Genomic DNA, 12070 nt, shown 5'->3' on the forward strand with positions numbered 1-12070 from the left:
ACAAAGCACTCTGATATCCATGATCTGATATGATCATTTCTCTGGGCCCTAGAGATAAGCATTCACAGGCAAGAAAACTGAGCCTTTGAGATAACGGGCAGCTTTCCTGAGTCACACAGCTGTGGTATGGGGAAGACGGGGCTGGACCCCAGCTCTGCTAACTCTCAGCTAACCCTGGGCCACATGCTGTGACACACAGTAGGCCTTCCAGAGAGCCAGGGAGCATGATGATACTAGCAGCAACATTACCAGGTACAAAGAGGGGAAGAAAAGTGTGTCAACTTCACGGCTGACACCAGAATGTTTCTCAAGCACTGTCATGGCTAAGAAAAATATTTAGATGAATGTCTGGAGCAGCAGGTGTCTGCTGAATGTCTGCATGTGTGCTGGTTCCAGCTACAGAAGGGGCGGGAAGGCGCTCGACATGCTAGAGGGAGGAGAAATCGGGGCTCCAGGGGCATCTAAGAAAGCAGAGGGGATGATGAGCAGAGATGACAGGGAGAGGAAAGAGGAGGCTGTGAGTGGCAGGATGGAGTGACTCCCCCACCACCCTGAAATCTTTGATATGGTCTCTAAACTCTCTGGTGATTTGTTGTACATGGGTGCTGTTGTTTTTGAGAAAACCAAAGAAGGTACTGAATTTCAAGTTGGGACTATCATGTCATCCCAAGAGCAACAGAACTGGTCCCCAAGAAGCAGAGGAGACTCAAAGCACAGGGATGCTCTGAATGGTAAAGAAATGTTGAACTTCCTTCCCTGTGCTGTGGAATTGAAGGTACGTTGAGAACTTCCTCCCAGCTCTCAGGGGCACAGAGACCTCCAGCAATCTCAAAGGTTGCACGGGAATGGCACCCATCACAGGCACAACATAGAAAACATCCTCTGCTTCAGCAAAACCCTAAGCAATTCTCTAAATCTAAAGTGAGGCTGGTCCTTACAGCAAGAGTTGCTTGTTCTTTAAAACGAAGAAGTGTGTGGGCAATTTCTAGGAACGACTTCGTGCTCTGAGGGCTGGAGGCTTTGGTAGGGTGGTTTCCGAGCTGTGTTTTCCCGCCCCTTTTTGGCCCTTGGGTTTTCTGTAGGAGACATTTATCTCTGTGGGCCTCTGTTTCTTCACTCAGCACCCTGTCCCAACAAGTTCTCTCTAGCCAGGGAAAAGGGAGTCCTGGGGCTTAGCTAGTCCATGGGCCAAAATGAGAAGACTCTCAGAGGCCACCTATCTTGGCTCACATCTTAGAAATGAAACAGAGTAACAGTGAGGGAGGAGGGCGCTGGTCTTCCGGGAGCAGGTGACTGCCAGCAGAGACCGAGAGAAGACCTCTGAGGCAGTGCGTCCCCACCTCCCTCTGCCCAGCTCCCTCTGCCCGGTTTAGGAGATGGGGACATCTTTATCATTGACAAGGGCAAGCATGGAACGTTACACAGCCCCTCTTCTCTCCTCAGCCATCTCCAGATGGGTATAGGTGAGCTGAGGGCCTCCAGGTAAGGCCACCACAGACAGCAGGGCCTGAAGAGCCAGCTGATCACCCCGTGGCCTCCTTCCTGGGTTCTGCGTTGGTTGTTGGTGGGTGTGTTTGGTGCACAGGTGAGGGAGTAAGCGAGGAGTTTACCTCTGTTGCCCCTCCCTCAGCAAGAGCCTACAAAGCACAAAGCCCAGCTCCCTCAAGCATCAGCGGCCTCCGTTTGTGCCTGCATTTACCTGGGCCTGCCCGTATCTATGATGTCCACACTTCTGTGATCACACAGATTCTTTTTATGTTCTCTTTGTTCCCCCCCGAACATTATGTCCTAAGCATGCCTTCATAATGCTACAATCATCTATAATTGTTTGTTAAATAAGTGAATTAAATTGGCATTGGGATATCATTTTCAGTTTTAAGCAGATACACGATTACTTATCTAACTGTTCTTAGATGAAATGGATGCAAATCTGGAATTTAACCCTGGCTTAATATATAAAGTCATAATATTTCAGGAGAAATTTTCTGTGTCTCCAACCCATGGATTAATGATCTTTTGCTATTTTTTTTTTTTTTTTTTTGAGATGGAGTCTCACTCTGTTGCCCAGGCTGGAGTGCAGTGGTGTGATCTTGGCTCACTGTAAGCTCTGCCTCCCAGGTTCACGCCATTCTCTTGCCTCAGCCTCCAGAGTAGCTGGGACTACAGGCGCCTGCCAACACGCCCGGCTAATTTTTTTTATTTTTAGTAGAAACAGGGTTTCACCGTGTTAGCCAGGATGGTCTCGATCTCCTGACCTCATGATCTGCCCACCTCGGCCTCCCAAAGTGCTGGGATTACAGGCGTGAGCCACTGCGCCTGGCCGATCTTTTGCTATTATGGTTGTCTTTATGTGCACGTTATGTCTTATAAATAAGAGTCACACACACGCTCAAGGCAGCACCCTGCACTTCAGTGAATTCAGGTTTGAATGAGACAAACTGAGTTAGAATCTCGCTTCTGTGATGAACTATCTGTGGTATCTTAGGCAAGCTACTCAGCCTCTGAGTGGTCATTTCCTTGTCTGCAAAGTTTTGGAGATCACAGAAGCAAAGCACCATGTGTATTGCAGGCACTGGAGGCTGGGATTCTCCTAAACTGACAAGGGTGGCATAAATAAATAAGACCCAGGGCCTGGGACTCATTCCCTGCCACTATGAACTGGGGGTGGGGATGGAGTGGGGATAGGAACATCCCGAAAGGGGCCTCTTGTCTGAAGTGATTGTGTTGATGGCCCAAGTTCGTGGCCTCCCTACGTTTATGTCCTCTACCCTAAAACTTTGAAGCCCCTTCCACTCTGACTTTGGGTTAGCTATGTGACTTACTTTGGCCAATAGGATTTTAGGAGATTTCAAGCTTAGAGAAAACGCTTGTGTTTTCCATTTCCTCTCTGATTACCATGAGAATGTGCCCTGCTGGCCAGCTGGGGATGAGGTGCATTGAACAGAGCTAAGGCCAACCTAGGTCAGCCAGGTGACCAACAGACATGCGAGTGAACTTCAGCTGGCCCCAAGAAAGATTTTAAGGTCAAGCCCTACTAAGATTAACAGAACAACACTGTTGACCTATAGGTTTGTGAACTGGGGCATGCTATTATCTAAAGCCAATGTGTTTTGGGTGTTTTGTTATGCAGCATTATTACAGTAATAGTTGACTAACACAGGGCCTCTTTTCCCCAAATTATCAACAGACTGGAGAAGGGGTATCTCCCACAGTGCCGAGCATGGTGCTAAGTAATAAAGTGCATTTTGTTTACATTCATAAGTTCCAGAGCCAGACTGTCAGAATTCAAATTTCGGTGCTGTCATTGGCTAGCTTTATGTCCTTGGCCAAGTTATCCCATCCTTGGTTTTTTTTTTTAGGTCTTAAAATGGGAATAAAAATATTACCTACTTTCTATGGTTGTTGTGATGATTTAATGAGCTAATGTATGTGAAGTGCTTAGAATGAAATAGTTTTCAATACAGATGAGCCATTAGTGGGTGTTTCTGTCCATCTCCCTTAACTAGACCTTCACCCTCCCTCACTCCTGGGGGGCAGGAATGTCATCTCATACCACTGTCTCACCCTGTCACCTGGCAGAACACCCAACATGCTAAATATCCATTGCTTGCTGAATGTCTGGAGTAAAATTAGCACTTTTATAGGTACAGATGAAAATTTCAATAAGCTATTTCAACTTAAGGCCAATATCTTTGTTCTTTTTATAGAGTGCACATGTAATATTTATCACGTTTTGTAACTGTACTTCTCCCTCACTCCCTACTGTGCTATGAAATAAAACTTTAAAACCTTCTTCACTGTCTGGCATTGACATGCACTATTCATTCCAACTGTACTTAATTGAAGCATTTCTCAAGAGAGCCAGAGGGGGTGCGGGTTACCCTCCCAGGCTAGTAGAGACAGAGCTGGAGGCCTCACCCTCTTCCAATAATGCACAGCCCAGGTGCATCTAGAATCAGATCCCCTTGGTTCTCTCTCTTAGTCACCTTCTTTTTACTCCAGAGACTCTGCCATCTGACAACCATCTGAACCAAACTTTTAGGTGGTTTTTCTCCTCACTGGCCACATGGGAAGTCACCCGGTACAATAGCCACTACTTCCGTTTCCTGGTATCTCTCTGTGCACGAGGGGTGTTGGAGGAAAATCTTCTTTGGGTTCCAATCCTTTGGTTACTAACGGGTTTAAGATTGGGGGTGGGAGTTACTAACCAGGGTCCTCTGGAGAAAAGAGGGCTCAAGTCCCAGGTCTATCACCAAGCCATAGGCAGAATTTTGTGTATATGGTTACTGTATTGAAGAAAACACTATCATTTCCATCATATTTTCAAAAGCCTCTATAAATCTCTATAAACCAAAACCCACAGCTTTGGGAAACGGAATTCATCCCTGTAAGCCTCAGTTTCTTCATCTGCAAAATGAAGGTAATAACAATTACCTTCTCTGACTTCACTTTAGAGAAATGTTATAAATGAGAAAATGAATCTGATCCATAAACTGCTAGACAAATATAGGTAATTGTTAATATTTCATTATGCCATTTGTTAACTCAGAAAATACTTAGGTAGTGTGAATTTCAAAAGATGTTGCACAAATTGTATATATAATTCTCAAGTCTTTTCCTGGATTTGGACATAGATGAAATTTAGAACTAAAATGCACAGAGTTCTCAGTAATAATGATAGCAGATAATACTACGAACCTTATATGCACCATCTAATTCAGTCCTCACAATGGCCCCATGAGGGAAGTTTATGTCATTTCCTTTTTACAGATGAGGGTTCTGGGGCTCAGAAAGGTTTAAAAAATTGCTCAAGGTCAGACATCAGAGCTGGATGTGAAGGTAGTGCTGGTTACCTTCACATGCCTAACTAACCATGGTGCTGTCAACTGCATCTCATTTTATAAAACTAAAAGAATCAGAATGTGATTGTTCATTCTGCATTGTCTATCTCTAGGCAACATAATTTTGCCTTTTCAGGGCTCTGTAGAGAGATGTCTCTGATTCCGAAAGCCAAGATTTGAATCTGACTCAGCATCCCCCCATTTAGGGCATTTAAAGAAAGCTACATGAGACAACTCCCAAGCCCCTTTGCGAGCCTTATTTTTCTCCCCTGTAAAATGAGTGTATACTCCTTCCTCCCTCGAAGGACTGTTGGCAAGGTCCTGTGGGTCATTGTGAAGAAGCACTCAGACCAGTGCCTGGTGGGATCTGGTGTTCACTCTGTGCTTGCATCTTTTCCTCTCCTGGCAGGTAAATATTAAGACAGAGGAAGTCAGTGAAGGGAGAAGAAGTGGAAGGAGGGCCGCCATGCACCTAAGCCACTCAGAAATTTCAGATGGCTTCATCTCTGTGGCTGGGAACAACTAGAGAGGTGGTAGTGAGACACTGCACAGAAGTGAGGGAACCTGCGTCTTATCTTGTCTGTTCTGGCTTTTCCAGATTCCCTGGGAGACTCCCTGGGTGACTCTGTGTCCCCTCTCTGTCCCCCAGCAAGGCTGTTGGGAAGATGAAATGAGAAGGTACCCTATGATACCCAGCCCAGTGCCTGCAAAAAGGAACAATGACAACACCCCTTCCTGTGCCCATTGGCCCAGGTCCCAGCATGCCTTGCAGTGATGATCTATGCAGGGGCTGGAGCTGTGCAGGAAAGGGAAGGGCCCTCACCTTTCACAGCTCTTGCCTCGTTGTGCTTCTCCAAGAGCAGGTAGCGTGGGCTGTCCGGGAGAAAGGGAAGGCTCAGCAGCTGGACAACGGCAGGGACCACAATCACTCCAAACAGGTATGGCCAGGTACTCTCCTGTGGGAGAAGGAGATGCTGCTGAGTGCAGTGGCCTTTGGTCATTGTTGAGGGGACTGGGCCACTGGACCAGGTGGTTTCGACCCTGCAGAAGGTCTTCCTGCCCAGCATGATCCCCAGGAACAAAGGCTGAGGGAAGGAACTGAGCCAGGCTGGGCACCAGTCCCACGTATATAGCATTTTCCATGCATGAGTCCAGAGACTCCTCAAGAGTCCCCTGTGAGATAGTGACCTGCAAGGTAGCTCTGAAAAGCAGGCGGCTCTGGTTGGCCAAGGCCACTCAAGGGCTGCTTGACCCCACTCCCTGGGGAACCATGGTGAGCCTGGGGGATCTTAGGGTCTCCTTCTCTTCAACACCAGGGCTGCCTCCCAGGCTGCCCCAAGAATGGAGCCTGCATGTGGAGGTGACATGGGCACCACCGCTAGATATCTAGACGCCCACGACATTCAACCATCTCTGTCTTCTCAGTGAGGACACAAGAAGGGCAGCTGGAGCTCTTGCAGACCCCATGGGAGTGAGGAAGAGGGGGCCAGTGGGGCACAGCTTACCCCTTAGGGAGAGGAGGCCTTTCACTTTCCAGCCAGCTATGAAAGGCAAACAGATCCCTACGACACGCACTATTCAAGAGGCAAGTGATGCACTCCAAGCAGTGACATCCCCTGCAGTGCAGCTTAAATGAAGCCCAGAGCACACGTTACGATGCCCATCAAGGTAGTATTCGTCCTAACCTGCTTTCTTCCTACCCAAGTTTACAAATAGGCTCTCAGTGTGCCACTGAAAGAAGAGAATCCTGCTCACAATGCAGTTCTGATCATGAGAAGGAGGAAAAACCAAGTCCTCAATGCCACATCCTTGACACGTTTATTTCCCAAGAAGGTACAAGGAGATGGCCAAGGGCAAAATAAGACACACTCAGACCTGAAAAGACTTCACATGATAGGCAGAGGTTCTGTTGGCTTCAGGTGGGGCCCATGGGAAGTTACCCTCAGGATCCTGGGGCACCAGAACTGGCAGGGCCTGGGGACAGCCTCCCCACCTCTCCCCCAGCTGCCCGCTGGGAGGCAGGGCTTCCCTCTGCTGCTCTCCCAAGACTCGCTCCCTACTGAGGTCCATGGTAACAGAGACTTTTGCAAGTTCTAGGATCCCATGAAGGGAGAGCAGCAGGGCCCCAGGGCTCAGAGTGAGTGGGGAAGTGGCCTGCCAGGGGCACACAGCCAGCAGCTGGTCCAATCATCATCTCCATCTAAGGGGTGCCTTAGATTTGATTCCCTTTTCTGTATCTAATAACAATTTTTATTCACAAAACTCCTCTGGTTCCGCCAGCCAGCATAGCCCTTCCATCGCCCTTTGAGGAACTGGCAAGGCCAATGTCAGCTTTCCAGTTTCAGGAGGAGCTCTCGCTAGAAGGCTGGGAGGGGTAGGCTAGGGCTGTCGGGGGCCCAGGAGGGCCAGGGACAGGGGAGTGGGGAGTGACTGCGCATGGGTGTGGGGTTTCATCTAGGGTGATGCAAATACCCTGGAATTAGGGAAGGCCGATGGTGGCCCGACTCCGTGAAGATACCAAAACCCACTGAGCTGTATACTTTAAAAGGATGAATTTTATGATATGTGTGTCATAGTTTGATCAAAAAGAAAGACCAGGAAGAAAAAACCCCAACATACATAGAAGTGGAATTTTCGCTAGGCCTGTGTGTGGTGGTGTTGATTTTATTTTCTCTCGGGGTTTGGCTGCCGTCTCAGTAAGGGTAAAAACAGAATCTGAGAAAACACGAGGGAACCAACCCCATGAAGCTCCTACCACGTGCCGGATGTGATGTGAGCCCTTCCCATGGCTGTCTCCTTCCACCGCACAGCCGCCAGCCCCACACACAGCCAGCAATACTGCTGCATGTTAAAGGTGTGGCAGGCGATTCCTGTGCTGAGGCCTCCCAGCCAGGAGCCACACAGGTGGAAATCAAGCCTAATATTTTCCCACAGTATCGTCACAGTGGGAGCACTTCCCAGGGGTGGTGTTTTTGGAGCTGCCACTGGGTGGAAGGGCACCCCCAGCATAGGAACAGCATGTATAACCACACAGAGGCATGATCCACCCAGGCTCATTGGGGAACAACAACTGTAGTGGAAACAGAAGGTCAGGGGATGCCGGAGATGTGGGAGCTGAGGCTGGAGCCTTGAGCAGAGGTCAGGTCATGGGTGGCTTTGCTGCCTTTCCATGGCTCTTGGACTTGGCTTGAGGACAACAGGAGCCTTTGAGGGGTCTATGCACTAGCTGAGATGGACACTCTCTATTTCCTTGAATCTACAATTCAGTGTTTTTGGAATCTTAGTCAGTGGGTATGTTTCACATTGCATGACTTATTCCTGAAAGGCTGTTATCAAGTTTATGGCATAGCCTTTGATCCCTGGTCTCTTAAATACAAGGACGTGTGGACTCTTTCTTAAGGGGGGTCGCATGGGTGACCATGGTCTTCTTTCTACCTCTGGAGAAAAGGTGGATTCTTTAAACCTCAGGGTGGGCAGCCCCCGGATTGGGATGCCAACATTTCTGAACTGGGGAAGGACAATGGCAGTGGCCACTCTGCACACATCCCTGGGGTGAACAGCGGAAAAGGTGAGGGTCGGGAGTGTCCAGAGTGGAGCTCAGATAAGAGTTTACTCCAGAGGGACTGAGCTTAGCCAGCAGAAGAGTCTGAACCTGGCTTTTTCCAGCAAGTGTTCAGAGATTTCCTGGAGATATTAGCTGGCTGCAGGGAGAGGTGTTATAGTTAGGAGAGATTATTCCCCTCACCTTCTACCAAGAAAAGTGTGACTGGGTGTGTGGGTAGGGTGTGTGTTGAATGAAGTGTTTCCACCCATATTATACATGTGGCCCACCCAAATAATAAAAATAGCTAGGATGACCTGCGCACACGTCATCTCAATGAGTAAGTGCCTAGCCTGCTCACTCATTCCTGCCGTGGGGCCACAATAAAGGCTCTGCTATGCCCTGTGCTTTATGGAAGAATTTCTGACAATGAACATGCACGTCTTCTCTCCCAATGACAGTGGTAAAGATGTAATCGCCATCAGCAACCCTTACTGAGCAGGGGCTTGCAGCCAGGATCAGGGCAACCTAGTGAGTGGCTATGGGCACAGCTCTCTTGCAGGCTGTCTGGATTTGAATTCTGCCTCTACCCCCACTCACTGTGCTGTGGGCAAGTTATCGAAATGCCTATGCCTCAGTGTTCTCATCTGTAAAATGGGGACAGTGACAACACGTATTCCTAGGGAGGATTTCTGTTGGGAGGATTTAGTCCATGAATGGATGTCGGGAGTGCTGAGCACAGGCCTGCACACACTGTAGGTGTTCAACAGGAAAGAGTGGCTTTTATTACTAAGCACATTGGATAGTTCATCTCTTCTCATCCTCACAATAGCTCGCAGACAGAGAGCCTGTGATTATCTCCACTATACAGAAATATTAACTGCAGCACAGAGGGGTTCAATAGCTCATTGAGGCCACAACTCGGTCATAGAGGCATGACTGGCCGCCAAATCTGGGATCCCAGAGTCTGAATTCAAATCCAGGAGGCCTGATAAGACATACCTAGTGACCAGGGAGGAGCCATCAGACCACCAGACTCAGGGGAAGGGCCAGGAGAGCTTGGTCTGAACTTCTACCATCTGACCCAGGCCTAAGACCCTCAGTGGCCCTTGATGGAGCTCCTGGGCACTTGGTCCCAACACAGAGCTGAGGCCTCAGTGTTTTACATTAGATGGGCATGGCCTGAAGGCAGAGACCTGCTAGCACACAGTAGTGGTTCAATACATGTCTATTGAAGGAGCAAATCAGCGTGGGAAAGGGCTTTCCTACACACTGGTCCCTTTCACAAACAGCGCTTGCCATTTTCAGACAGTGGCCTCTGAGTGTCTTTTTCAGGTGCTGTTCAAAAAGGAAGGCATGTTTTAAAAAACCGCATATTACTCGCCTGACACAAGACCATGAGGCGCCACCAAACGACAACCTCAAAGATGAGTCTTTGTGGTGTCGGTCCAGCCTGCTGGGTTTGGTAAAGCCCTAGAGCGTCCATCTAGGAGAACACAGGCAGAGTCTTTGCACCTGCTATTTCACTCAGGAGGAAAGAAAAGGATAGTCTTGTCAGCCAAGGTGATTTTTAACTCCCAGTCAGGTCAGGCGAATGGGCTTTGCAATTATCTTGTTCTATTATCTTGTTCTTTAATCTGCAGGTTTCCATGTTTTAAATAGACTTCCAGGTCATATTTCCCCCAAGCTATAGACTACTTTAGTCCATAAATAATATCATCCTGGACTATGATGAATCAGCAAAAAATGTTTAAGTAGAGTTGAAATCATTACTCTTACCCCAAGTCAAGTTCTTATAAAGGATGTTCCAATATGCTCATGGCCCCCAGACAAGGGAGCACGGTGAGGGGGTTGATGCTGGCTGGGCCACTTATGCCTCTGACAGCAAAAGGGCTCCAGAAGTGGCCATTGCTCCATGCTGCTGGATTGGAAAGGGGAAGAGCAAGCCCTACCTTACACAGCTATTTGGGGGATTAAATGAAATGCTCTTCTTTATATTTCTTCATATTTAGGCTCTTATTCTAATAATGGCTTACATTGATCAAGTGGGCTCCACGTGCCCAGCTCCCTGCTAAGTGTGTTACAAATGTAACCTTGTGTTACATAAGAACAGTCCAGAATGTCATCTAAATACAACCTTGATCTTTGTCTCCTTATTCCTCTAAAATTTAATCCCTGGGGCTTTATTTCCCTGCCCCATTCTAGGGGCTCATGTCTTTTCTGCTGAAACTGAGCAGAGTCCTATCCTAGAATCACAATTTCAATTTAGACATCAGAATTGCCAGTATAAAATAATAATCAAAATCAACTGAATTGAATGGATTGACTGACACTTCTTCCATCTCCCATACCCCTTCCTCCAAGCCTGCTTTAGGCTAGAAGCCTGCAGTGGAAAGAGCTGGGGTGGGAGGTAGATGGTTGACTTCTCTATTTCTCTCCTCCTTCCTACCCCTCTTCCCCAGGCTTGCTAGCCAGTGTCTGACCCCTCTAGGAACCAAGTGTGTGAGGCTGTACGTTGGGACTCTGGGGCCAATGGATGTGTAAAACTGATATTGTTTCCTCATGAGCACTTTCCGAGGGTTCTGGAGTGTCCCAACCTTGGGACCACCCACTCGTCCTTGCAGTTGTCCTAGCCTGCAGGTTTGCAGGTGCTCTTTCTCTGTCTCTGCTGCAAGGTGTACATCTCTTTCTGTCTCTCTCCATTGCAGCTCAAGGGATCCAGGGTCAAGGCTGCTCTGCATATTTGTGAAAGGTGCACCGAGCACTCAGCTCCCTGATAAGGGGGTGGGCTGAGGCTAAATCCAGCCCACTCTGACCCCAACCTAGGTGGCCATGAGGTTAGTGTATTAATATTAATCATGTTTTATGTGTTCTGTATTTTATTTCGCTTTCATATTGTATGACCTTTCTGATTTCAGAGAGACCGACCTTTCCCGAGCAGTTATTAATAGCAGCTCCCTAGCTATTAATAATTCCTAGAGCTAGTAAACAACCTGCCTGAGAGCAGGCCTTTCGTATGCAAACCCACCAATCCAAAGTCTATACTCCAATCACTTCCTTTATCAAACTCTCACACTCTGAGCCAACATTTCCCCTCCCACAGGCCACTCCAGAGCCAGGTATCAGACAACTAGGGAACAGCCCTGTAGCCCAGAGCCTGGCAACATGATCTCAAGCCTGCCTCCCCTGCTCACTCATTCCTGCCATGGGGCCACAATAAAGGCTCTGGTGCAGGCTGTCCCCTCCCTCTTTCTGCCTCCTGACTGACCCAGTGCTTCCCTGCGTGGTCCTGCATGGCGTGGTATGTCCCCTCCTCTAGGGAACTGTGAGTAATAAATTCTTCTTTCAGATAAGGTTGCCTCCATGTCCATCACCTCGCCATACAGGATTCATACAAATTCTGGGTACATTTTAGAACAGCTGGTTGCCCCTCCCACTCAGGCATGTATGTTCTTGCTGTAGGTGGCCACTTATTTCTTTCTAAACACCACCCCCCCACCCCTTACCTTCCATGACACACTCTCCCTGGTTCTCCTCCAGCTTCTCGGGATACTTATCCAAGGTTTTGAGGCAAGCCCTCCTCTCATTCATCTCACACACATCCCCCGGGTAGTGATTCTTGAACTTGGCTGCCCATTGGAATCACTTGGAGAGTTTTTACAAACTACTGATACTCATTCCTTACTCT

At 48.2% G+C, this 12070-nt stretch overlaps 1 protein-coding gene across 27 annotated transcripts in view, besides 1 other annotated feature; it reads right to left on the reverse strand.

Moving 5' to 3' along the window:
* The window catches only part of SLC2A9 (solute carrier family 2 member 9), a 269246-nt gene that overhangs the window by 165224 nt on the left and 91952 nt on the right, over positions 1 to 12070 (reverse strand). For all 27 annotated transcript variants that reach the window (XM_011513867.4, XM_011513858.2, XM_047415973.1 and 24 more), the window contains one exon: positions 5665 to 5797. In XM_011513867.4, the coding sequence (XP_011512169.1) occupies positions 5665 to 5797 (133 nt within the window). The remainder of the gene's footprint in view (positions 1 to 5664; positions 5798 to 12070) is intronic.
* Positions 8085 to 9284: an enhancer, noted in NCBI's record as "CDK7 strongly-dependent group 2 enhancer chr4:9945957-9947156 (GRCh37/hg19 assembly coordinates)". NCBI's record gives its function as "activates an origin of replication core promoter dependent on BRD2, BRD4, P300/CBP, MED14 and CDK7 cofactors, with strong dependence on CDK7, by STARR-seq in HCT116 cells {active_cell/tissue: HCT116}" and the evidence as "EXISTENCE:reporter gene assay evidence [ECO:0000049][PMID:35650434]".

Source organism: Homo sapiens, chromosome 4 (genome assembly GCF_000001405.40).
Source record: "Homo sapiens chromosome 4, GRCh38.p14 Primary Assembly".
Classification (NCBI taxonomy): Eukaryota; Metazoa; Chordata; class Mammalia; order Primates; family Hominidae; genus Homo; species Homo sapiens.